At 64.1% G+C, this 20,691-nt stretch overlaps 1 protein-coding gene across 30 annotated transcripts in view, besides 12 other annotated features; it reads right to left on the minus strand.

Moving 5' to 3' along the window:
- Positions 1-19,345, minus strand: part of PLXNB2 (plexin B2) — a 32,668-nt gene extending 13,323 nt beyond the window's left edge. For 3 of the 30 annotated variants that reach the window (NM_001376883.1, NM_001376870.1, NM_001376864.1), the window contains exons 1-5: positions 11,976-12,034; positions 6,418-6,477; positions 1,216-2,296; positions 659-841; positions 442-570 (exon numbers count right to left, since the gene is read on the minus strand). In NM_001376883.1, the coding sequence (NP_001363812.1) occupies positions 442-570; positions 659-841; positions 1,216-2,283 (1,380 nt within the window). In that variant the 5' untranslated portion in view covers positions 2,284-2,296; positions 6,418-6,477; positions 11,976-12,034. Of the gene's footprint in view, positions 1-441; positions 571-658; positions 842-1,215; positions 2,297-5,231; positions 5,295-5,494; positions 5,694-6,417; positions 6,478-7,075; positions 7,129-8,131; positions 8,264-11,824; positions 12,035-12,196; positions 12,211-13,045; positions 13,369-15,177; positions 15,521-19,251 lie in introns of those variants that run through there. The other 27 variants (NM_001376886.1, NM_001376867.1, NM_001376885.1 and 24 more) reach the window with 23 other exon arrangements.
- Positions 4,192-4,251: a silencer, noted in NCBI's record as "silent region_13969". NCBI's record gives its function as "represses an Ori minimal core promoter by ATAC-STARR-seq in GM12878 lymphoblastoid cells {active_cell/tissue: GM12878}" and the evidence as "EXISTENCE:reporter gene assay evidence [ECO:0000049][PMID:35858748]".
- Positions 4,372-4,421: an enhancer, noted in NCBI's record as "active region_19312". NCBI's record gives its function as "activates an Ori minimal core promoter by ATAC-STARR-seq in GM12878 lymphoblastoid cells {active_cell/tissue: GM12878}" and the evidence as "EXISTENCE:reporter gene assay evidence [ECO:0000049][PMID:35858748]".
- Positions 12,139-12,695: an enhancer, noted in NCBI's record as "H3K27ac-H3K4me1 hESC enhancer chr22:50738869-50739425 (GRCh37/hg19 assembly coordinates)". NCBI's record gives its function as "activates a minimal SCP1, AML or CMV promoter by ChIP-STARR-seq in naive H9 embryonic stem cells {active_cell/tissue: H9 hESC(naive)}" and the evidence as "EXISTENCE:reporter gene assay evidence [ECO:0000049][PMID:30033119]".
- Positions 12,696-13,252: an enhancer, noted in NCBI's record as "H3K4me1 hESC enhancer chr22:50739426-50739982 (GRCh37/hg19 assembly coordinates)". NCBI's record gives its function as "activates a minimal SCP1, AML or CMV promoter by ChIP-STARR-seq in naive H9 embryonic stem cells {active_cell/tissue: H9 hESC(naive)}" and the evidence as "EXISTENCE:reporter gene assay evidence [ECO:0000049][PMID:30033119]".
- Positions 13,390-13,439: a silencer, noted in NCBI's record as "silent region_13970". NCBI's record gives its function as "represses an Ori minimal core promoter by ATAC-STARR-seq in GM12878 lymphoblastoid cells {active_cell/tissue: GM12878}" and the evidence as "EXISTENCE:reporter gene assay evidence [ECO:0000049][PMID:35858748]".
- Positions 16,999-18,198: an enhancer, noted in NCBI's record as "P300/CBP strongly-dependent group 1 enhancer chr22:50743729-50744928 (GRCh37/hg19 assembly coordinates)". NCBI's record gives its function as "activates an origin of replication core promoter dependent on BRD2, BRD4, P300/CBP, MED14 and CDK7 cofactors, with strong dependence on P300/CBP, by STARR-seq in HCT116 cells {active_cell/tissue: HCT116}" and the evidence as "EXISTENCE:reporter gene assay evidence [ECO:0000049][PMID:35650434]".
- Positions 17,588-17,957: an enhancer, noted in NCBI's record as "active region_19313". NCBI's record gives its function as "activates an Ori minimal core promoter by ATAC-STARR-seq in GM12878 lymphoblastoid cells {active_cell/tissue: GM12878}" and the evidence as "EXISTENCE:reporter gene assay evidence [ECO:0000049][PMID:35858748]".
- Positions 18,506-18,656: a silencer, noted in NCBI's record as "fragment chr22:50745236-50745386 (GRCh37/hg19 assembly coordinates)". NCBI's record gives its function as "represses an EF-1alpha promoter that drives an FKBP-Casp9 reporter gene in an ReSE screen in HepG2 liver carcinoma cells {active_cell/tissue: HepG2}" and the evidence as "EXISTENCE:reporter gene assay evidence [ECO:0000049][PMID:32094911]".
- Positions 19,177-19,246: a silencer, noted in NCBI's record as "silent region_13971". NCBI's record gives its function as "represses an Ori minimal core promoter by ATAC-STARR-seq in GM12878 lymphoblastoid cells {active_cell/tissue: GM12878}" and the evidence as "EXISTENCE:reporter gene assay evidence [ECO:0000049][PMID:35858748]".
- Positions 19,257-19,456: a silencer, noted in NCBI's record as "silent region_13972". NCBI's record gives its function as "represses an Ori minimal core promoter by ATAC-STARR-seq in GM12878 lymphoblastoid cells {active_cell/tissue: GM12878}" and the evidence as "EXISTENCE:reporter gene assay evidence [ECO:0000049][PMID:35858748]".
- Positions 19,617-19,666: a silencer, noted in NCBI's record as "silent region_13973". NCBI's record gives its function as "represses an Ori minimal core promoter by ATAC-STARR-seq in GM12878 lymphoblastoid cells {active_cell/tissue: GM12878}" and the evidence as "EXISTENCE:reporter gene assay evidence [ECO:0000049][PMID:35858748]".
- Positions 20,367-20,416: a silencer, noted in NCBI's record as "silent region_13974". NCBI's record gives its function as "represses an Ori minimal core promoter by ATAC-STARR-seq in GM12878 lymphoblastoid cells {active_cell/tissue: GM12878}" and the evidence as "EXISTENCE:reporter gene assay evidence [ECO:0000049][PMID:35858748]".

The following is a 20,691-nucleotide window of genomic DNA, read 5'->3' on the forward strand; positions in this document are numbered from 1 at the left end:
GGGGTGCTCCTAGGGCTGGCCTGAGGGTCTCTGGCACTAACCCCCCACAAGCTTGGGGCCCAGGCCCATGTTCTCCACTGACTGAGCTCACATGGGCTGTGCAGGGACCCCGTCTTCCCATCCACCCTCAGCAACACGCCTCAGACACCAACCCAGGTCCCTTCCATCAGGACAGGGCAGAGGCGGGGCCAGAGGGAGAGACATGGTTGAGACCACAAAGGACAAACAGAAGGAGCGGCAGAGACGGGGCAGTGCTAGAGAGACACAGGATGGAGGCACTGCCCGGGACCCACCCAGCCACCCCTCATCCAGACCAAGGAGAAGGGCCCAGCTCTGCAGCACCCCATCCTCCTCTGGCCCCCAGGCCTGTCCTAAGGGCCTGGGATGCAATGACCGGGCACACTTGGCCTAGAGTGCTCTCCGGGGCTGCGTCTGGCTCACCTTGTCCTGGGTCATGGCGTACAGGCTGCCCAGGTCTCCAGACAGTACCAGGTCGCGCTTGACTCTCTTGTTTATCTCCACAAGGATAGAGTCGTACTCTGAGGAGGTGCCATCTGGGGTGAGGTACACCTGTGTGCGCGAGGGCAGGCCGGTGAGGGTACGGGCCTTGTGCACAGACGGGCCCTCCAGAGCCTCCCCGCCCCAGCCTGGGCCAAACCTTGAGGATCCGGCCATCAGAGGTGCCCAGAAAAGCAACAGTGTGGTTGTTCTCGGCGGCGACCGTCACGGCCGTGAGGTTCAGGCCTCCACGCTGCAGCACGGCTGTGCCTCTGAGCCCGTCGCGGCTGCCCAGCGGGTAGGGCAGGTGCTCCGAGCCACATGGGAAGCTCTTGCTGGAGCCCTGCGGACCACAGCGTGTCAATGGCAGGCAGACCCCCTGTCCTGAAGGGCCCTCTCCACTCGCGCTCCAAGACTCGGGACAGGCCCTTCCCTTCCCTCCGGCACACGTCCTACACACGTCCCCGAGAACAGAACCCACATGGCAGGGAGCCCCACCGTGCTCACTGTTGTGTTCCCCAGTGCCCGACACAGGCCTGGGACTGGCGCCAGCGTGAATGGCATTGAGAGATGCGGCACCCACCCACGCAAGCGCCCAGGCTGGCGAGAGCCACGGCCACACTGCTCACGTGCACCCTCCCCAGCAGGCTGGGACACGCAAACCCACGAACGGACGCCTGCAGTCCGGGCCCTGCGAGAACACACTGAGGCCCATACCGGCGCGTGGCCGCCGCACTGGATATCGCCGTGGAAGGGCTTGTAGAAGATGTCACGGGCCTCCCGGGTGCCTGTGTAACAGGCGTTGCGGTTGGCCTCCATCTTGGCGTGCACCTTGTCCAGCGGGAACAGGCAGAGGCCCGCACCGGGCCCCCCACTGCTCCGGCTGTCTCTGCTGAAGACAGCATATAGCACCCTGCCAGAGCCAGGCGCAGCCACGGAGGCGGCCAGGCAGGTGCCAAAGGCAGCGGCGTGGATGTCGGGGTCCCGGCACTGCAGGTCCATCTCCAGGTAGGAGTAGTAGTTGGGGTCTTCTCTGCACATGCGTGCCAGCAGCGTGCGGTTCCGGGCCGGGTGCTTGTCCTGCTGGTTGAAGACAAAGAAGACGTAGGGGCCGTCCTCGAAGGCCGCCACGAACTGCTGTGTGTTGGTGGACAGGTAGCCGGCCTTGTAGGTGGCGTGGTCCGTGTAGGCTTCAAAGGCCTCCCTGCTGTCAGTCCGGTCCAACAGCCGAGTGCTCACGATGATGCCGTTGTCGTGTGGCCCATTGCCTTTGCCCACAAACAGCACGCGGTCACCACCAGGACCCGTGGAGCTCACCAGCCCCACTGTGGCCACGCCCTCATCATTGCTGGCCACGAAAGACTTCTCCCCGCTGCCGTCCTCGTAGAACAGGCGGAGGGAGATGTTGCTCAGGGCGCGCAGAGCGCAGATGCCCTTGAAGAGGCTGCCGCACTCCACCAGGCGCTTCCTGGGAGGGTCGAGCAGCAGCAGCTGGTTGACATTGTCAGTCATCTCAGCCTCATGGCACTGGCTGGCCTCGATGGGCGGCGTGCACTTCTTGTTGTCCAGGGCCGGGCCCGTGGCCACCTGCTGCTCCAGCTGCAGCTTCGCATCCAGCTGGTAGAGGGCATTCACCGCCCCCAGGTACACCACGCCTGAGGCCTCATCCACAGCCAGGTGGTTCAGCTCTTTCTCGCTGCGGAAGAAGTCCAGCTTGCGGGGCCTCAGGCTGGCACCTGCGCCCAGCAGGCCCAGCAGGGTCAGGGCCCAGAGCTGCAGTGCCATTGCCCCCCGCACCCTGTGGGAAGAGAGAAGGGTCAGGGGAGCCCCGACCCAGAGGACCCCCGATCAAATCCCTCTCCAGTCCCTGCCCCAAACGTCAGAACATGGGAGAGAGGGTCACGCCACTCCACGAACTGAGGAACCTGGAGCTCCGCCCCTTCCTGCTTCACACCCCCGCCATCCTCGAGGTCTCGCCGGAGACCACTTCTCAGCCCTCCTCAAGTCCACCCTGACTGACCACTGGGGCCAAGGCACTGCCATCGCCTGCTACAGGATCCCTCCCGGAGGTGCTGAAAACACCGGCAGGCCTATCCCCGAGGCAAGGAGTTGACGCCCCCAGAAAGGCTCTCAAGTGCTCACATTCATGCCCCCTGACCTGTGACCCCAAGGAGCTCCAGGTGGTCGGGACGCACCGGCCCCAGCGCACAGGCTCAGGCTGACAGACAGACCCCTGGACGTTGGAACAGGTGGCTCACCCATGGGGCAGAGGTGAAGGACACGGGAAACCAGAGGCTCAGGTGAGAGCGAGGGGTGCCCTGTGCATAGCCCAGCAAGTGCACATGCTGTTTACAACTGCCCGCCAGAGCCCCCAGGCGGCCTGAGCCTCCCTGACCACCTCCAGGCCCCCTGCCCTGGTGAAACAGTGGAAGCCAGCAATCACCCACAGCTCCTCGCTCGGCCCATGTCACGCCCAGGGCACAGCCTCTGATGTGCGCACAGCGGAGGCAACAAGGGGACCTGGGGAGCCATGAGCAACTCCAAATCCACCAGGTCTCAGAGGCAGAGGCCCCCACATCTGCAGCCTGGACAGGCTGTGTCCACATGCGTGTGTGTAACTGAGCACGTCTCGGTGTGGGGTCTGTGCCTGGGTCCGGGTGGATGAGGGGGATGTGTGGTGTGATGGGTGAGCTGCTGAGGACCAGGCTGAGCTGAGGGTCTCCCAATAGGAGGAAGATCCAAGGCCCCACAGGTGGACCCAGGACATGCGTGGTCCTCTCTCTTTCCCTCCCTACCAGACTCAACTGCATCTTGGGGGCTCAGACACAAGTGGCAGAGACAGGGCCCTTCTGCCTCTGAGCTCTTCCTCAGGGTGGTCCGTCCCTCTCACGCTAGGGACCCTGCTCCATCCTGGCCAGTGATCCCTACATCAGCCTCCCCTGCCAGTGCCCCCTCCTCATGCTCACAACCACCCCCACTCCTGGGCCCACCATCATCTTCCCTGAGTGCACCAGTACGGGGGGCTCCCAGGTGTCCAGGGCAGCCCTGCCATGGCAGGTGCCAAGGGGGTCCAGACTCGATGGCAGAGGGTTACGAGGGATGGAGGCCCTGGCCTCCCCCACCTCCCTGTGCAGGCCCACCCCGTGCCTCCAGAGGGACTGCCACATCCTCTCAGGCCACCACAAGTGTCACCTCCCTGCATATGTCTCATCCCCTCGAAACGCAATCCGCTTTCTCACCACATATTTGAAAGTTTTGCCAGGCCCGGTGGCTCACGCCTGTAATCCCAGCACCTTGGGAGGCCGAGGCGGGCGGATCACGAGGTCAGGAGTTTGAGACCAGCCTGGCCAACATGGTGAAACCCCGTCTCTACTAAAAACACAAAAAAATTAGCCAAGCGTGCTGGCACCCGCCTGTAGTCTCAGCTACTCCAGAGGCTGAGGCAGGAGAATCGCGTGAACCTGGGAGGCGGAGGTTGCAGCGAGCCAAGATTGCACCACTGCACTCCAGCCTGGGTGACAGAGCGAGACTCTGTCTCAAAAAAAAAAAAAAAAAAAAAAAGTTTTAAGTGTACAAAGAACAAGCCACAAAATGCAAATGTTTCCACATCCCTGTGTCTCTGACGGCCAGGCTGACCACGACAGCCTGTGACCCATTTCTCAGGTGAAGAAACTGAGGCACGGAGCAGAATTTACCCAAGGCCACACCGCGGGCATGGGTGGGGCTGGGATTCTGACATGCAGTGGGAGCAGCTTGGCCTCTGACCACTGTGTTTCTCCACCCTTTTGACAACCCCCCAAACCCCCTGGCCTCTGTCCTCCCAGGAGGGCAGGGGAGCCCGCTCTGCTGCTCCGTAGCCAGGGGAAGTGTTTCTCCCGAGCCTCGGCTTTGGGTGAAGCTGCATTTACTGGCACAGCCGCCCTCCACCTGCCCGTGGCAACCCCCCGTTCTGATTGCCCGCACGCTTCCTGAAATCTCTTGAGGTGTAACCAAGACGCAACCGACCGACAACATCTGAGCCACCCCAGGGCCCGCATGAGTGAGACAGCGCTGCACTGGCCTTCCTGCTCCCTGGGAGTGCACCCATTAGACAGGCAGCTCCTGCCCGGCACAGAACTCCCTCCCTGCACTGGGGGTTCAGTGCTCAGCTGCTGCCCAACCCCTGGAGCCCCCCAGGTGCCCACGAGCACAGCAGCCGCTGGGAGAGGTGACCACCCACAGGCTAGGGAGTTCCTGGCCGACTGGTGGCAGAGAGGCTGGGTAGGGCCATGGGACCCCAGGCTTCACCAGGATAGGGGTGATCAGCCAGGAAAAGATGCTGGCTTTAGTGAGAGACAGGAAGATTCTACAAGCCCACGGGAACCTCTGGGCATGATCCTGGTGGAGGGGGTTCTATGCCCAGCTCAGCCAGGGTCCCCCGCTGTGGCTCAGTGGCCTGTCCAGGGGAGAGGAGAGGAGGGCACAGGAGTCCCAGGCCTCCAGGAGAGGCCCGTAGGCTACAGCCACAGCCCATGGCCCTACCAGGGAGGAGCAGCGCCTGCCCGAAGGCTCCCCAACCCCCGCCGCGCCCCTCCCCTACCCACAGCCACCCGGGGGCAGGTCCCGCAGGCCCCCGCCTTCTAAGTGCACCCAGTGGCGCCAGCGGGGGCAGGCAACGTCCAGGCCCCTCGGCCCTGCGCCCAGGCCTGCTGCCCTCCCCTCCCAGCCCCGCTCACCCGGCCCAGCTCGCTCACCCGGCCCAGCTCGGTGGCAGTGGCAGAGGCAGCCTCAGCCAGGCGCAGCTCCCGGGAATGAATGGAATGCGCCCGCAGCTGGGAGGGGAATGCGGGGGCAGCGCGGGGGCGGGGCCCACGGTCCCCTCGGATCTGGCCCGGACCGTGGTGGGGCAGCCTGGGGAACCCTGCGGCGCCCCTAGCCCCAGGAAAAGCAATGGCTCTGGGCCCCCACAAGCCACCCCTCAGCCGTCCCCCAGCTTCCACCCAGGGAAGACACTCACCCACCCGCCAGGGCTGTAGGGGCCCCGGTACAGGAAGAAGGCTCTCCTGTCCCTGCCGGGGGCTGGCACACCCTAAGTGCTCAATAAACACCACCGTGTGCCACCAGGGAAAGCCTGACTCCCAGGGTCCTACAGGCCCAGGCTTTTCAGGGTGGCAGGCGCGGCTGGGGTGACACCCTACAGGTGGCAGCTGCCTTCTGGTTCCTGGACAAACAAGGCCTCAGGTGACCTGCCTGCCCAGGCCCAGGAGCAAAGGGCAACCCACCGGACCAGCAGCAAAGCTCCGGCGGCGCAGGAGGCGCCAGGCACAGCCAGCTACGCTTCCTGCTGCCTGTGTTCCTGGAACAGGAGGGAGGGCGGGCAGCAGGCACTTCCTGTTTTGAAGCCCTCCTGGGACCCCCACTTACGGGGCTGGCGGGGATTTCCTCGGGCCCTCTGGTGCCTTCCTCCTGGCTGAAGCTCGGAGGGGCACTTTCAAGAGGCCACAGCAACTCCGGCTGCTGCTGGGCAGGGAAGCTCCCCACTTCCATCCAGACCAGGCCACAGCAACTCCAGCTGCTGCTGCCCACAAAGCGTCTGCACAGGCACCCCCCCACCACACCCCCAACGCTCCAATTCCCAGCCCTGATGTCCCAGAACCCGGTGCCACAGTCTCACTGCAGACCACTCCACCTGAGCAAAAGCTTGGCCTGAGCAACAGCTTGGCCTCAGAGAACCATGGGAGCCTCACAGCGGCTCCATGGGCAGGGAAGCTCCCCACTTCCATCCAGGCCAGGCCATGGGAAGGGTGGCAGAGTGACAGGTACGGTTGAAACCTGGCTGGACAGAGCCTTGCAGACACCACATGGCAGTTCTAGATACCTCCGGCCTCCCTGTCCACATAGCCCCAGCCACCCACTGCCTTTCCCAGGTGGGGTACAGACCCCTCACCGAGGCTCCAGTGGTCCAGCTCAGTTTCTGCTCCAGGCCAGCATCGAGATTCTCTAGGAGGCAAAGGAGAGACGCCGGTCACAAGAGGAGCCCGGTCTGCTGTGGAGCCCCCCACCTCTGTCCCATGCTGGTGGGGCTTGGGGGAAGAAACATCCCACAGGACCCCATCTGGCCTTTGGCTTCCCTCTGGCCCCTGCACAGCCCCTTCCTCAGACACCTCCAGGGCTCCTGGCACTCCCCTCTGTCAGGGGCTTTCTGCCTGTTTAAACTAGGTATGGCTATTACTTTGCTTAAAATAAAAGTTGCTTTCTGAGGCCGGGTGCGGTGGCTCCCGCCTGTAATCCCAGCACTTTGGGAGGCCGAGGCGGGAGGATCACGAGGTCAGGAGATCAAGACCATCCTGGTGAACACAGTGAAACCCCGTCTCTACTAAAAATACAAAAAAATTAGATGGGCCTGGTGGCGGGCAGCTGTAGTCCCAGCTACTCGGGAGGCTGAGGCAGGAGAATGGCATGAACCCGGCCGATGGAACTTGCAGTGAGCGGAGATCGCACCACTACACTCCAGCCTGACTTCGTCTCAAAAAAAAAAAAAAAAAAAAAGTTGCTTTCTGAAAAATACGCACACCCATGACCCTGAAATTTCACTTACTAGCTGTGTGACGTTGGGCAAGTTACTTAACTTCTCTGTGCCTCATTCTCCATCTGTGGAATGGAGACAGAATGGTGAGCTACCCCCAGAGGTTTACAAGGACTAAATGAATTCATTCACAAAAAGCCTCAGAGTGTTACACTGTAGCATTCAGCAATGCTTGCTATTGTATCTTCCCTTGCTATTGTATCTTCTAGTTCTGGATAAACACCGACTATACCCACAGGGAGGCACAGACCCAGGGTGCTTCTCCGCATGGTTGGCTTTAGTGAAAATTTGGCAGCCACCCAGCATCCCACCAGAGGATACTGTGGAAGACTACATGGTAGATGCAGGTGCGTCTGTGCTGATTCTGATGGGGAAGCCTGGGTGCAGTATTTGGCCCCATCCATCTCTGAGAGGCTCCAGAAGCCGTCAAACCAAAATCAAAATAGTGGCCGGCTAAGGCTGGGTGCGGTGGCTCACACCTGTAATCCCAGCACTTTGGGAGGCTGAAGTGGGCGGATCACGAGGTCAGGAGTTCGAGACCAGCCTGACCAACATGGTGAAACCCCATCTCTACTAAAAGTACAAAAATTAGCCGGGCGTAGTGGTGCGCGCCTGTAATCCCAACTACTCAGGAGGCCGAGGCAAGATAATCGCTTGAACCTGGGAGGTGGAGGTTGCAGTGAGCCGAGATCGCGCCACTGCACTCCAGCCTGGGCAACAGAGTGAGACTCCGTCTCAAAAAAAGAAAAGAAAATAGTGGTGAACTTTGGGAGCAAGGAGGAGGCCACGGCAGTCCAGCCCAGGCCAGAGTGAGACTGTCTCAAAAAATACACACACACACACACACACACACACACACACACACAATAAAAAAGTTCAAGGAACTTGAACTAGACCGTGAACTGGCCGCGTGTGGTGGTACAGCCTGAAGTCCCGGGTACTGAGGAGGCTAAGGCAGAGTAGCTTGAGCCCAGGAGGTCTAGGCTGCAGTGAACTATGATTGTGGGCAACAGAGCGAGACCCTGACTCTAAGATTAAAGCAAAACACAAGTTTAAGATTATATTTACATATTGCTTGTCTAAATAAGAAGCTGAGCCAGGCACGGTGGCTCACGCCTGTAATCCCAGCACTTTGGGAGGCTGAGGCGGGCGGATCACCTGAGGCTGCAGAGAGCTGAGATCACACCATTGCACTCCAGCCTGGGGAAAGAGCAAGACTCTGTCTCAAAAAAAAAAAAAAAAAAAAAAAGGAAAAGAAAAGAAAGAAAGAAAAGAAGGTAGGCTCCACTCTGCCTCAAGATGTGACTCTCCAGGCCCTCAATAGCCACCCCTACAACCAAGGTTCAGCTACTGAATCCTGCTCAGGCCCCAGAGTCCACTGCAGCCTGGCCAGGTTGTGTGCCAGCAAAGCACCTCCTCCCGCAGGGCCAGGCCCCACTCTCCTCCCACCCCACCGGGATCCTCATGTGCCCTGTGCAGCGGGACCCGGGGTTGGACATGCAGTGACACCAGCAGGGGGGCGGCGGGAAGGGAGGTGAGCTCCACAGCTGTGCATGGACTGTGCTACCCTGCTGCACAGGTAAGGGTTAACCCGGCCAAAGGGCTGGGGAGAGGATGAGGTTTCGGGGGGCAGAGGGCATCCTTTCGACCTGAGACTCAACAGCACCTTTGTGAAAAGGGCAAAAGGCTGCTCCTCTGGCAAACTCAGGAGCCAAAGCACAGGGCAGCACCGGGTCTCCTGAGAAAGCTGGGACCCGCGGGGACTGGAGACTGCAGCTCCCGACGGAGGTGGCAGCCATGGCGGTGGCACGGTACCCCCAGACCTGCCATCTTGAAGGGACGCCACACCGGCCTGTGTGCCCCATGCCCACTCCCTGCAGCACACCCCCAGGCTCCAGCCTCCACGGGCCCAGGCCCCAGGCGTGGGCGGGGGCAGCCAAGGTCAGGGGAGGCTGGCTTCTGTCCCGCCCATCCCGCACGCCCTCGAACAACCTCCCCTGAGTGATCGATCCACTCAGGAAGCCAGAGGCAAGACCCATACTCCACTCTCCTGGAGGAGGCTTTCTGCCGTCCTCTTCCCTGGCCCTCACCGTGGAGAACGGCCATGGATTTCCCCTCCCAGAGAATAACACCATGATCCCTCCACCCTCAGTCTGGGGCCCTTCCTGGCCCAAGTCTACCTCCTCTGCCCGGCCTCTGGCTTCTCCCACCTCCATCCATCTTGCCCTCAACACTGAGCCAGGCTCCATCTCCTGCTCACAAGATTCCCGCTTAGCTACCCCAGAAAAAGGAGTTTCTTCCTTAGGTGGCTGTGGTCACACCTGACGCTGCTGCACCCAGGGACCTCGAGGCCTGAAGTCCAGAGCCAGACCAGTGAGTTCACACCCCAGCTCTGTCACGTTCTAGCTGGCTCATGTGGGCCATTCAGAAAGCTGCTCTGTGCCTCAGTTTCCCCATATGTAACCTGGGGGTCATTATGGCGCCCACCTCAGAGGGCTGCCTTGAGGTTGAGTGGGTGTGGAAATCTTTACAGCTGTGCCCACTCAGAGAACGCTGCCTCACGACATTCCCACGTCCATGTTCACTGTGCTCCCTGGAAAGCCCCTGCCCATCCTTTAGACCCCGAGACACCCTCCCTAACCCAGCCCCTGAGGGACTGGCCTTGCTCTGTGGTCTATGGTCTTCCCCGACAGGCCCCGGCTGCCCCGCCGCCCTGCCCCAACAAGTCCAAACACTGGATCTGGTCACTGGGCACCTGCCGGTCCAAACTCAGTGAGCCGGGAAGGGGTGGTGACATGCAGGGGCGCGAGCCCAGAAGACCTGTCCCCGCAGGTCACCCCCAGGCCAACAGAGCAGAAGGGTCTCCTCCCCCAACCAGAACTCCGATGTAGGCCAAGGGCAGCACAGGGATGCTGGGCCTCCCCTCTACAACCTAGACAGCCTGGGAGGCAGCAGGAGCTGCTTGCTGGCTGGGCACCTGTGGCCCTCTCCTGAGGTCCCTTTTGTTTTTTTTTTCTGACCAGCAGCCCCCAGGCCCCTTGCACGGGCTGAGTCTGGCCCCCGCCCCTCCCACTGGGTAAAGGTAAACAAGAGGCATGTAAGGGGGAAGGACAGAGCCCTACTCCAGATGAGGCCAAGAGTGGGGGCTGCCAGGCCCCCAAACTCCTGCCAGCCTTGGTTCTGAGACCGCCCCAAGTCTTGGCTGCACTGCGGGGTGGTTCCAGTGGGGACTAAAATTGGGAGTTCTCTGCCTTTCAGTATTTTCAAGCAAACAGACTGGGCCATTCTTTTCTTTTTTCTGAGACAGGTCTCACTCTGTCACCCAGGCTGGAGTGTAGGGGCATGATCTTGGCTCACTGCAACCCCTGCCTCCCAGGTTGAAGCAATTATCCTGCCTCAGCCTCTCCAGTAGCTGGGACTACAGGTGCACGCCACTATGCCCAGCTAATTTTCTGTATTTCAGTAGAGATGGGGCTTCACCGTGTTGCCCAGACCGGTTTCGAACTCCTGAGCTCAGGCAATCCACCCGCCTTGGCCTCCCAAAGTGCTGGAATTACAGGCGTGAGCCACCACACCCAGCCAGACTGACCATTCTTAATGCTAAAATCAAACCAGCACAAAGCAGTCAGGCCCAGTGGGAGGGCAGGCCCAGCTTGGGGGCTGCTCTTGGCCAGGCCAGGCTGTGGGCTCTGGCACGGGAACCAGAGAGGGCAGGGGCCAGAGGAGGTGCATGGGCAGCGGCCCGGCAGGGGCCAAGATGGGGATCCAGGCAGCAGCCGCCATGAAGAACGAGGAGAGCTCGGGCCTAGGCCTGGGAGGGCAGGAGGGGGTGGCATGAGCACCTAGGACATGGGCGGTGGAGAAGGCAGAGGTCCTAGGGCTGTGCGGCCCTCCAGGGCTCAAAGGATTGGGGTGGACACAGGCCCTGCGTGGGGTGGGGGGGGGGCCCGGTGCGGGGGCGGGGGAAGCAGCCTCGGACCAAGTGAGCGATAGGCTGCCCCAAGCACAGGCCAAGGCGCGTCTGAGAGTGGCTGTCCCGGAACGGGGCGACAGGCGTCACAGAAAAGCCACGGAGGCCCCGGAGGCCCCGCAGCCAGCAGCCAGGGGGCCGGGCCAAAGCTAGCGACACACGCAAATCTGCAATTATCCCAGAGCGCTAAACACATCAGAGGAAACAAAACAGACGCGCCGGCGAATCCCAGCCTCCGCTGTTTTCAAAACAAGCGCGAGGGGGGTGCCGCGGGGCGTGGGGCTGGGGGGTCGGCAAGGACCCCGGCCGCCCCTTCCCGCAGCGCCGCGCCCGTGGGTAGGCGCGGGGAGGGACTGGGTGGAGAGCGCGCGGGAGACCCGGCGAGGGCGAGACCGGCGGCCCCGCCACCCAGCCCCACCCACCGGTGACCCGGGTCAGAGTTCAGCCCGGGAGGCGGGGGGCGGTGTCTCCTGGGTGGGTCTGCGAGCCCGGTACCCGGCCAGAGCCAAAGGCGGGCACCCGGCCTGTGTGGAGCGCCCTGGACTATTCCTCGCAGGCCGACCCAGGTGGCACAGCCCCTCCCCCGGCGCCGGCACCGCCAGACTCCCCGGAGGGCGCAGAACGGTTGCCCGGGAGCCAGGGGCAAAGCGCGCCCGGGGCCAGGAAGCGCAGGGACTAGGCCCGCGCCTCCTCGGCGCCGCCCACTGCCCCCCGCGAGCCCAAGCTCCACGGCCACCGCCCGCGCCCTCCCGGGGACTCCGGCGCCCCGTCCGCCCCTCGGCCTCGCGCACCTGGAGGGAGCACGTGGCCGCCTCTGGGACAAACCTCACCAGGCCGGGGGCCCAGGACGCGCGGGCGGGTGGGAGTCTGACCCGAGTAACAATGACGGCGGCGGCGACAGTCACACGAGCGCAGGAGACGTCGTCCCCGCGGGGCGCTCACCTGGCGTCGGGCACATCGGATCGCACAGCCGGCCATTACCTAAGTCCTCCGAGCCGTGGAAGGGGCGCGGGGAGCAGCTCCGCCCCGCCGATGGTGGCTCCGCCCGTGCCCCCGGTCGGTCTCAGGGCTCGGCCCCTCCCGGCCCAGCTGCCAATCATGCACGACCCTGCCCGGAGCAGCCTCCCGCAGGACTCCGGACCCAGGGTCAAGGCCAGACTCACCCGAGGCAAAGGCCGAACGCTCCCGGCACAACCCGACCTAGGAGCTGGGGCGGGGCGGGGCGGGGCGGGGCTCCAGGGACAGACTGATGTGGAGGCCTGAGCCTCGCTTCAGCGTCTACAGCGGTCCCCGCTGGACTCTCGGCTGAGGACCCCTCCCAGGTGGAGGCCGTCGCACCCCTTCCCCGCCAGCCTGGTTTCAGGGTGGGGTTCCTACTTAGGGCCAGCCTCCCCTGCAGTCTGGGCTCTGGGTCCCAGCAGGAAAAGTCACCCTGGCTGGTGGCAGTGATGGGGTCACCAGCCCAGGATCCTGGGGGTGCCCCATGAAGCCCCAGCTCCTCCTGTCACTTGCTCCAGCCGAGTTAGTCACAGCCCCCACTGGTCCACACCTCCTGACACACCCAGGCCACCTGGTACCCAGGGCCTCTGTATCTAGCCCTGGCCCTCAGGCACCCCCTGAGCTCACCTGGCCATGCCCAAGGGGCCTGCCCCAGCCCCCTCTCCGCCTCTGCACCAAGTGCAGCCCCTGTATATGGTGCGTCCCTAGACTGGGGCCCCAGGCTGCCCTCCCATCCTACACACAGTTGTGAGGCCCTCCTCAGCCTCCTCTCTGGCCACGGCCCACTGGCGCATCTGGAGGATGGTCCTCCCCAGCCCTCAGACAGAAGGTGGGATCCAGTTGGCTACGGCGCCCTGTCCCCACACGCACCAGGCCTGCAGAACCACCTCTCTCCTCAACCACCCCTTTCGGGGTCCCAGACCCCATCCTGTCCAACCTGGGCACAGCTGCAGCCCCCTCTTGCTACACCGTGGTCCTTCGGGTCAGAAAGCTGGGCAGCGCAATGAACCTACCGATGTCTCCGTGCTTCCTGAGGACCTCCTGTGGGAGGGGTGGGCACCGCCAGGCGCTCGGGGCACACGAGGCCGATGGCTACAGCAGGAACCACCAACTCATCAGGACAGGACATGCGGTCAGACAGCAGGCGGCCACGGAGGGACTCTCGTGGGATTCTGGGGCTCAGTCACTTGGAGTCTCTCCTGAAAGGAGGCCTCCCGGCCCGCCGGTGCCCAGCCCCACCTGCAGGCTCTCCTCTGAGTGGCCCCCACGCATCTCCCCCTTTCCAGCTCAACCCCGCAGCAGCCGGCTGCTCAGAGACCAGGTCCTGCCTGGATGCAGCTGGCTCAAGACCAGCCCCCGCCCACAGCCCCCTTCTCACCCCCGGGGTGGGCGTTGGGGGGTGGACGGGTGAGGCCCCAGCCAGTGAGCAGTAAGCAAGGCCTGTAATCTCCCCGTCAGCCTGTCAGCGCCTCAGCGGTCACCCCAGCCCCGCCTCGCCCATCACCGCTGAACCCCACAATTAGCTTGGGGCACCGCGCCAAGCCTGTGTGCCAGACACCACTTGCACACATGACCACACATGTGCAGACACACATGGCTGGGTGCTGCCGGAAAAGCCCTGCCAACAGGGTCTCACCCCAACACCCAGAACTCGTCCCCAGTACAAAGAGCCTGGGAGAGAAGCCTCAGGCCGGGGCACTTGGGCTAAGAGGGGCAGTGGGGCTCTCAGAACCCAGCGCTGCCTGGAGCCCCGAGGGAGGGGCCATGTGTGGCATGGGGAAGTGGGGTGGGGGCAGGGCCGTCTCAGCAGGGGAGAGGGGCTGCGTCTGCCCAGGATGAGCTGGGGGCTGGTGAGGCACAGGGTGTTGGGCAGGACCTGGGTCCAGGCCAAGGGTGAGGCAGCCCAGGGTGTGGGCTGGGCCCCACAGGGGCAAACACTCAGGGCTTTGGGAGGCCAGAGGGACAGGGATTTCCCAGTGAGGAAATGCCCATCTCAGAGTGGGGGCAGGACAGTGAGTGGGAGGTGATGCCCGTGGCTGGAGCTGTGTGGGGAGGTGGGTGCCCCTGGAGGCCAGGTCCAGCCCCTTGCTCCACGCGGAGGCTTGCTCTGCTCATGGTGGAGCTGAGGACTTCAAACCCCACAGGGCCTGGTCGAGAGCCACTGGGCCCCAGGTCTAGATGTGGAACTGGGGGACCCTCCAGCGAGCTTTGCTGGGCCTGGGCGGCCTGCCTGGGGCGCCCCACCTTCACGCCCTCCTCCCTAACATCCTTTTCTCCTGAAGTCCCTCAGGGTGGTCACCAGATCAGGCTCGGTGCCAACATAGGAGTGGGGAGGCCAAGCCCCTCAGCTCCCCTGGCCAATCTCTGAGGCTGAGAGGGAGTGGGGGGGGCCATGCTGGAGCACCTCCCTCCCACCACCTGCCCCTTGCCCCTGTCAACTGCTGGCTCCACTTAAAATAGCTTCTCCCCCTCGCTGGTGGGAGGGAGGCCCTGGTGTCAAGCCGGTAAGGCTGGAGCAAGGCTGGGCACAGGGCCTGGGCTCAGCAGTGTTCTGTGCCCTCCATCTCCTCCAAAGCAGGCCCCAGCTCTGAAAACACACCTGACAGGGCTGGGATCCACAGAGTCCTCACCTCCTGCTGGTCCTCAAACCCCACTCTCCATGGCTGGGTCCCTGAAATACTTGGATTACCCTCAAGCCCCCCGCCATCCCCCCAAGCTGTGGCTCCCATGCCACCCTACCACGTCTGAGTCACACAGGCCCAGGCCTCCCTTGCTTCCCCCAGGAGAGACCCCCCCACACTCCTGCTTCTGGCCTGTCCTCAGAGCCCCAGAACTCACCTAGGTTCAAAGCCAGACCCCAGCTGAGGACAGAGCATGGACCCCAGGCAAATGCAGTGACAATCACAGAGCACGCTCCTACCACAGCCACCCACGCAGCCTGAGGCATAGCCCCCTGGAAACTGCCTCGGCCTTCAGCACCCCACTTTGGACCAGCAGGGCAGGGGGGTTCCTCCTCTGAGAAGTCCTCAAAGCTGCCTGGAAGGAGCAGACAGTGCCCCCAGACGCCAATCTGACAGGGGGCCCAATCTGTCTCTGAGCAGGTGGCATGCTGGCTCGGGGGCCCCAGACCACAACAGAAGGTCACCTGGGAAGAGAGCCGCAGCCCTACACAAGGCTCGTGGGCAGGAACCGTCCCAGCCACAGGAGCAGACGCCCTTGCCTGGCCCCTCAGGGGGCCGTGTTCACACAGGAGGCCTTCTCAGAGGTGGACACCAAGCACTTCTCTCTCTTGCGCTTGCTGCGGGACTCAGCTGGGGCAGCATCAGGCCCAGAAATCGGTGCTGGACACTGTGTCTCCACACAGGGCCCCCCATGGAAGCTGCTGACCAGCTGTGCCAGAGGGGCCGGGGCCCTACCCCCAGGAGCCCAGTCCCTGCCTCTGATGCTGCTGCTGCTGGGACCCTGCTGGCAGAGCTGGTGGCTGAACTGGGGCAGCACCTCCCTCTCCTGCCCCAGGCCTGGGCCGGGACTCAGCTGGCACTGGAATGAGGAACTATTGGCTTTCAGAAGCCAGGAGACCTTAGGGGGCTGAGGAAGAGAGCTGGACCTGCCCCCAGGCGCCCTGATCCCAGCCCAGGGCAGTCTCCTCCCTCACCTAGCCTGGGACATGAGGCAGCTCAGGTGTGGCCTTAGGGGCTACCCCCAGGGAAGGCCACCAACCATAGCGGGCCACGGTGTGGGCTGGCCTCTGGGTGTGAAGGGCTCCAGGATCTGGGCTGCAGAGGCGGGACTGTGCGAAACAGAACCCCCAGCTCCACAGCCAGGCCAGCCCCAGGCTCCTCCCCAGACAGACATCCCCGGGGGTGGGGCAAACCTGCAGTACCACCAGGGGCAGCCTGTCCCACCATCCCCGGCACCACTGGGCCTGGGGCCAGTCACTGTCACAGGTTCATGAATCTCACAGGGCAGGGTGGATCCACTGGGGGGGTGCGGGGTGCCAGTGTTCAGGGCCAGACGGGAGGGGCCCAGCCAATCCCTTCACACGCTTGGTCTTCAGAGAGAAGGCTTCTGAGCCAGGAGGGCCACTGTGTCAGGGCCTGGCTTGAGGCCACACCTGTGGCTGGGGGAGCCCAGAACAGTGCAGGGTCCTTCCCTGGTAGGCAGAGAAAGGCAGGGGTCCTTACAATCCAGGGGTATGGGAAGAAGCAGGCCCTGTGTCAAGGGATGTGAAACCACGGAAAGGAAGAAGGTGGAGGAACCTCGACCAGAAAGAGGGAAGCTAGGGCAGCTGCCTCCCCGGGGCCCCAGAGCCTGAGCACCCCCCACCAGCCAAGGCTCTGACCCACCCTCCCCATCGTGTAATTAGTCAGAGACCCAGCCCCACCCCACCCACAGCCCCACCCCAAACACAAACAGCCACTACCCCTGAGGGAGGGAGGGGCTGTGGCCAGTCCCAGCCCTACTGAATCTCCCACCCCCAGAGAACCTGGATCTGCCTCAGAGAAGGGAGGTCAAGGCTGGGGGGCCACTTGCTGGCCACTGGGTGAATTCTGAGCAGCTCACCACCTCATCCCCAAACCGTGTCCAAGGCAGGCTCTGGGCACAAGAGGTTCCCCGCCAACTTCCAAGGAGGGCGGCCAGGCTGCAGCCAGAGGGACGGAGGCATGAGCTGAGTGAGAACTCCCAGCTCAGGGGAAGGCAGCCCTCGTGGCAGAGGCCTGGCATCCAAGTGCCTGCCTAGCTCAGAGAAGGCACAATATGAGGGGCCGGAAGACACAGCCTCTCCCAGCCAGTGCACCCCTGCCCACGCCCGCGTCCCAGGGGGACCATCAGCTGTGGCTGGCACAGGGTGAGGCAGGGGGCAGGACACGGTGAGCACGGACGACGTCCTGGGATGGGAGGAGGACTGTGCCATATGGGCCCTCCCCACCACCTTCCAATCCAATCTCTTCTGCTCCACTTCCCTGGGCCGGGTCCAAGGCTCTGGGCTTTCTGCACTTGGGGCCAGCTGCCGGCTCCTCCTCCCCGATGTGGTCCCCATGCAGGCCGCCGGGCACACACCCCGGGCGCACACACAGCATGGACCCAGAGCGCCAGGTAGCCACAGCCCTGGCCACACAGCATCGCAGATGACTCCTCACATAGACCTATCTCTGGCCTCAGTCTCCCCACCTGCAGGATGGGCTCACAGGCGCCATATCCAGAGGGGGTCGTAGGCAAGGACTGGCTGTCGGAGGGGCTTGGAGGGAGGCTGGTCCGTTAGTCAGGAGCTGAATAGGGAGTCCGTTGGGGCAGGAGGGCCCCCTGAGGGAAACCCCAGTGCCCTCCCTAGCAGCCTAGCCTCGCTCCTGCCTGCTCCTCCCTGGCACGCACAGGTCACTGGCACAGGGTGTGTCCCTGAACTTGGGCCTGGAGGGTACCTCAGAGGCTCTTCAGACCACCATTGAGACTTCTCGGGGCGAGGGGGTCCCTGGGTGGGGCGAGGGGGTCCCTGGGTGGGCCCAGAGCTCCTCCTGTTCCATGGTCTCCCCCAGAGGGGCTTGGGCCCACTGCAGGCTCAGCAGGGCCTGCTGGGGCCAACCTTGGGGCTTTCTCCAACCCAAAGGTGACGCATCTTCTCCCCGCCCAGTCTGGGCAGCTGCAGTAGAAAGTGGCAGAGCTGCCCGGACTTGCCCGTCCTCCTCCTGGGGCCCTCAACCCACGTCCCGGAAGTGGATCCTTCTCCCACGCTGCAGCCTCCCGCTTCGGGTGACTGGACACGGCTGGATGATCCAAAATAATTCTTTCTTGGCAGGCAGCCGGTGGGGGAGGGGGACTCACATTCCAAACCCTTGTTTTTCTCAGTAACTTCCCTCCTCTACTGGGGCAAGGAACCCCTGGCCAGACCTCAGGCCTCCCAGACCCCCCGGGACAGAGGTGGGCCCCCCATAGGTACCGTGGGAGGACTCAGATGTGCCAGGCCCACCTGCTTGCTTCTCAGTCGGCTCTGGGGATTTCTATGCAACATGCAAAAAGCTGACTCGCCACAAACCTATGCCTGCTGGCCCTGCCCTCCGGGAGACCCTCACCTCTGGACAGGAAAGGGAGGGCTCCTCCCACCAGCTGTTCAGCTGTTCCGTGCCAGGGTCATCTGGGCATGGGGCAGGCTGAGAGCCCCCACTTCCCGGCAGCCTCGCTCTCCCACCCGCAAAGGGCTCCTGAGGAAGCTCAACTTTAAAGCCTCACAGGCTGCGCCGAACCTCCAAGCAAGGGCCGAAGTCAGACATTAAGTGGGGAGGGCGGGGGGGTCCAGGGAAGGTGGGGCACAGGGAGCCCTCCAGGCCGCCGGGATCTGCCGGGTTTGGGGCCCACCCTCACCCTCACCCTCACCCTCACCCTCACCCTCACCCTCACCCTCACCCCCTGTCCTGACTCTGCCACAGCCCACAGTGGGCAGACGGACCCCTTTCTTCCTTTCCCAGGGAGCTTCGGGAAGAGAAATCAAGGGCCTGGCAGGAAGCCCCAGGGCGTCCGGGCTCTGAGACCCCCAGATGACAGGGGGAGGCGGGCTCCCCAGATCTGCCGAATAGCCCGACCAGGGGCGCTGGCAGGGCAGGGGCTTCCTGCAGGAGCAGGGTGCGGAGGGGCAGGGTCAGCAGGGGACAGGCAGGGCTCGCGCCCCCGCTTCTGAGACTTTCTGTGTCTCGGGGTGTCCACCCAGACGCCACTCTGGGAACCGCGAGGAGGCCCAGGCAGTGGGGTCTCGCCAGGTGCGGGTGCTCTCCGCCCTGGTCCCCCCGCGCCAAGCAGGCCCCAGGGGGTGCGGGGACGGCCCCCGGGAGCTCGGGCAAATCCAGGCTCCTGTGCCGCTGAGCCTGGGGCCGGCCCGGAGCGCCCGCACCGCGAGACCATCTCCGCTCGGCGCACGGAGCTCGGCGGCTGAAGAGTGAGAGGCAGGCGCGGAGGAGGGATCCGACGCGGCTCCGGAGGGACGCGCAGCCCCCGCCGCCGGGCCCGTCCCCCGAGTCAACACCGGGAAGGGAGTGGGGCGGCAGCGGCCCGGGCCTCGCCGGATGGACCGACGGACGGGGCCCAGGCCCCGGGAGCCCTCCGCGGAGCCGCAGCCGCCGCAGGTCCCCGGGCCCCAGCGCGGCAGGCCCGGGCGGAGCGGCGCTGACGGCGAAGCCCCCCCCACGCCCAGCGAGACGTCCCCCGCAGCCCAGTCCCCCGAGCTCGGTACCTGCACGTCCGCCGCCAAGGCTCGATGGCGCCCGGGCCGCGCTCGGCGCTGCGCTCTGGCCCGCGCTGCTGCCATGGAGACGGGGCCTTTGTGTGGCCGAGGAGGGGCCGGAGCGCGCGGGAGCTGCCGGCCCCGCCCCCGACGAGGGAGAGGAGGGGAGGGCGGGGAGAACAGGAGAAGGGGGGAGAGGGAGAGGGAAAGCGGAGGGGGAGAAGGAGGGGGAGGGGGAGGGGGGAGAGGGGGAGGGGGGAGAGGGGGAGGGGGAAGAGGGGGAGGGGGAGAGGGGGAGGGGGAAGAGGGGGAGGGGGAGGGGAGGGGGAGCAGGAGCGGGGAGGAGAGGGCAGAAGAGAACCGGAGAGGAGGGGAGGGGACGGGAGGGGAGGGGCTGGGCCTGCGCTCCCCGCGCCCCCCACTTCTCCCCTGCCCAGCGGCCACAGCATTGTCTGGTAGGTTCAGGCACCCCAGTTCAGACCCAGGTTCAGCCAGGGCAGCACCCTGCCCACCATGCCGCCGTCCAGGAAGCACGAGCGCCCACAGAGGCCCCATGGCCTGAGCACCCCCACAGGAACCCCGCAGGTCTGAGGGGAGGCCATGGCTTGGTACCAGGGGAGGGCATTATGAGTGCACTCTCGCCTGGCCAGAGGAACGTGAGGGTCCCTGCCAGTCTTGAGATGTGTGGGCACCAGACTCTCACTCCCAGACTGGAAGCATACCAGTCGCTCCCCTGCGGCCTTCAGGGGTGGGGGCTGCTGGGCTTTGGCCCTTTCCCAGGGGTCTCAGGCCCTCAACCTCCCAGGGTAAACTGGGACCTGGAGATGGCCTCCCAGCACATCCCTGGCCTCCAGCAGCACCTTGGGATGCTGCACCCGGGACCCCACCTGGTCCTTCAGGGCCAGGAGGTGGGCGGGCCGAGACCTCTTTCTGGGGGTTCTGGTTTCTGGGACAGAGCTGGCCCCACTTCTGGCATCCCAGGTCCCAAGTCCTGGCCTCAGTGCTCCTAGTGTCCCCTGGGCTTGAGAAGAGGTGGTGAACCGTCTGCAGGGCCAGACCTTGGAGCACGCCTCCACTGCCCTCCCGGAACTGGATGTGCTGAGCAGGAGACAGAAGCATTCCCCAAGCTCTTGCCCCCACCCTGGGTCACCCCTCCCTGGGGCCCGCCTTCCACCCAGACCTGCCCCGTCCTTGCAGCTGGTCAGCTTCCTCCTGTCCCCAGCCAGGCATCCCCTCCTCCTCTGCTTCCCCCACCCGGGATCCGCCCCGCCACATCCTGACAAACTCCCCCAGCCTGACTTAGTTCTTTCAGTCTCTGCCTTCTCCCACCCTCAAGCAGCCAGGCCTTGTTCCTGTCCAAAATCTTCCCTTGGGCCTTGAACCACAATCCACATCACGGCAACCCTACCCTTCACTGCAGAGGACCCCAAAATTACCAGGTTCTGACAA

This window comes from Homo sapiens, chromosome 22 (assembly GCF_000001405.40).
Source record: "Homo sapiens chromosome 22, GRCh38.p14 Primary Assembly".
NCBI classification, from domain to species: Eukaryota; Metazoa; Chordata; class Mammalia; order Primates; family Hominidae; genus Homo; species Homo sapiens.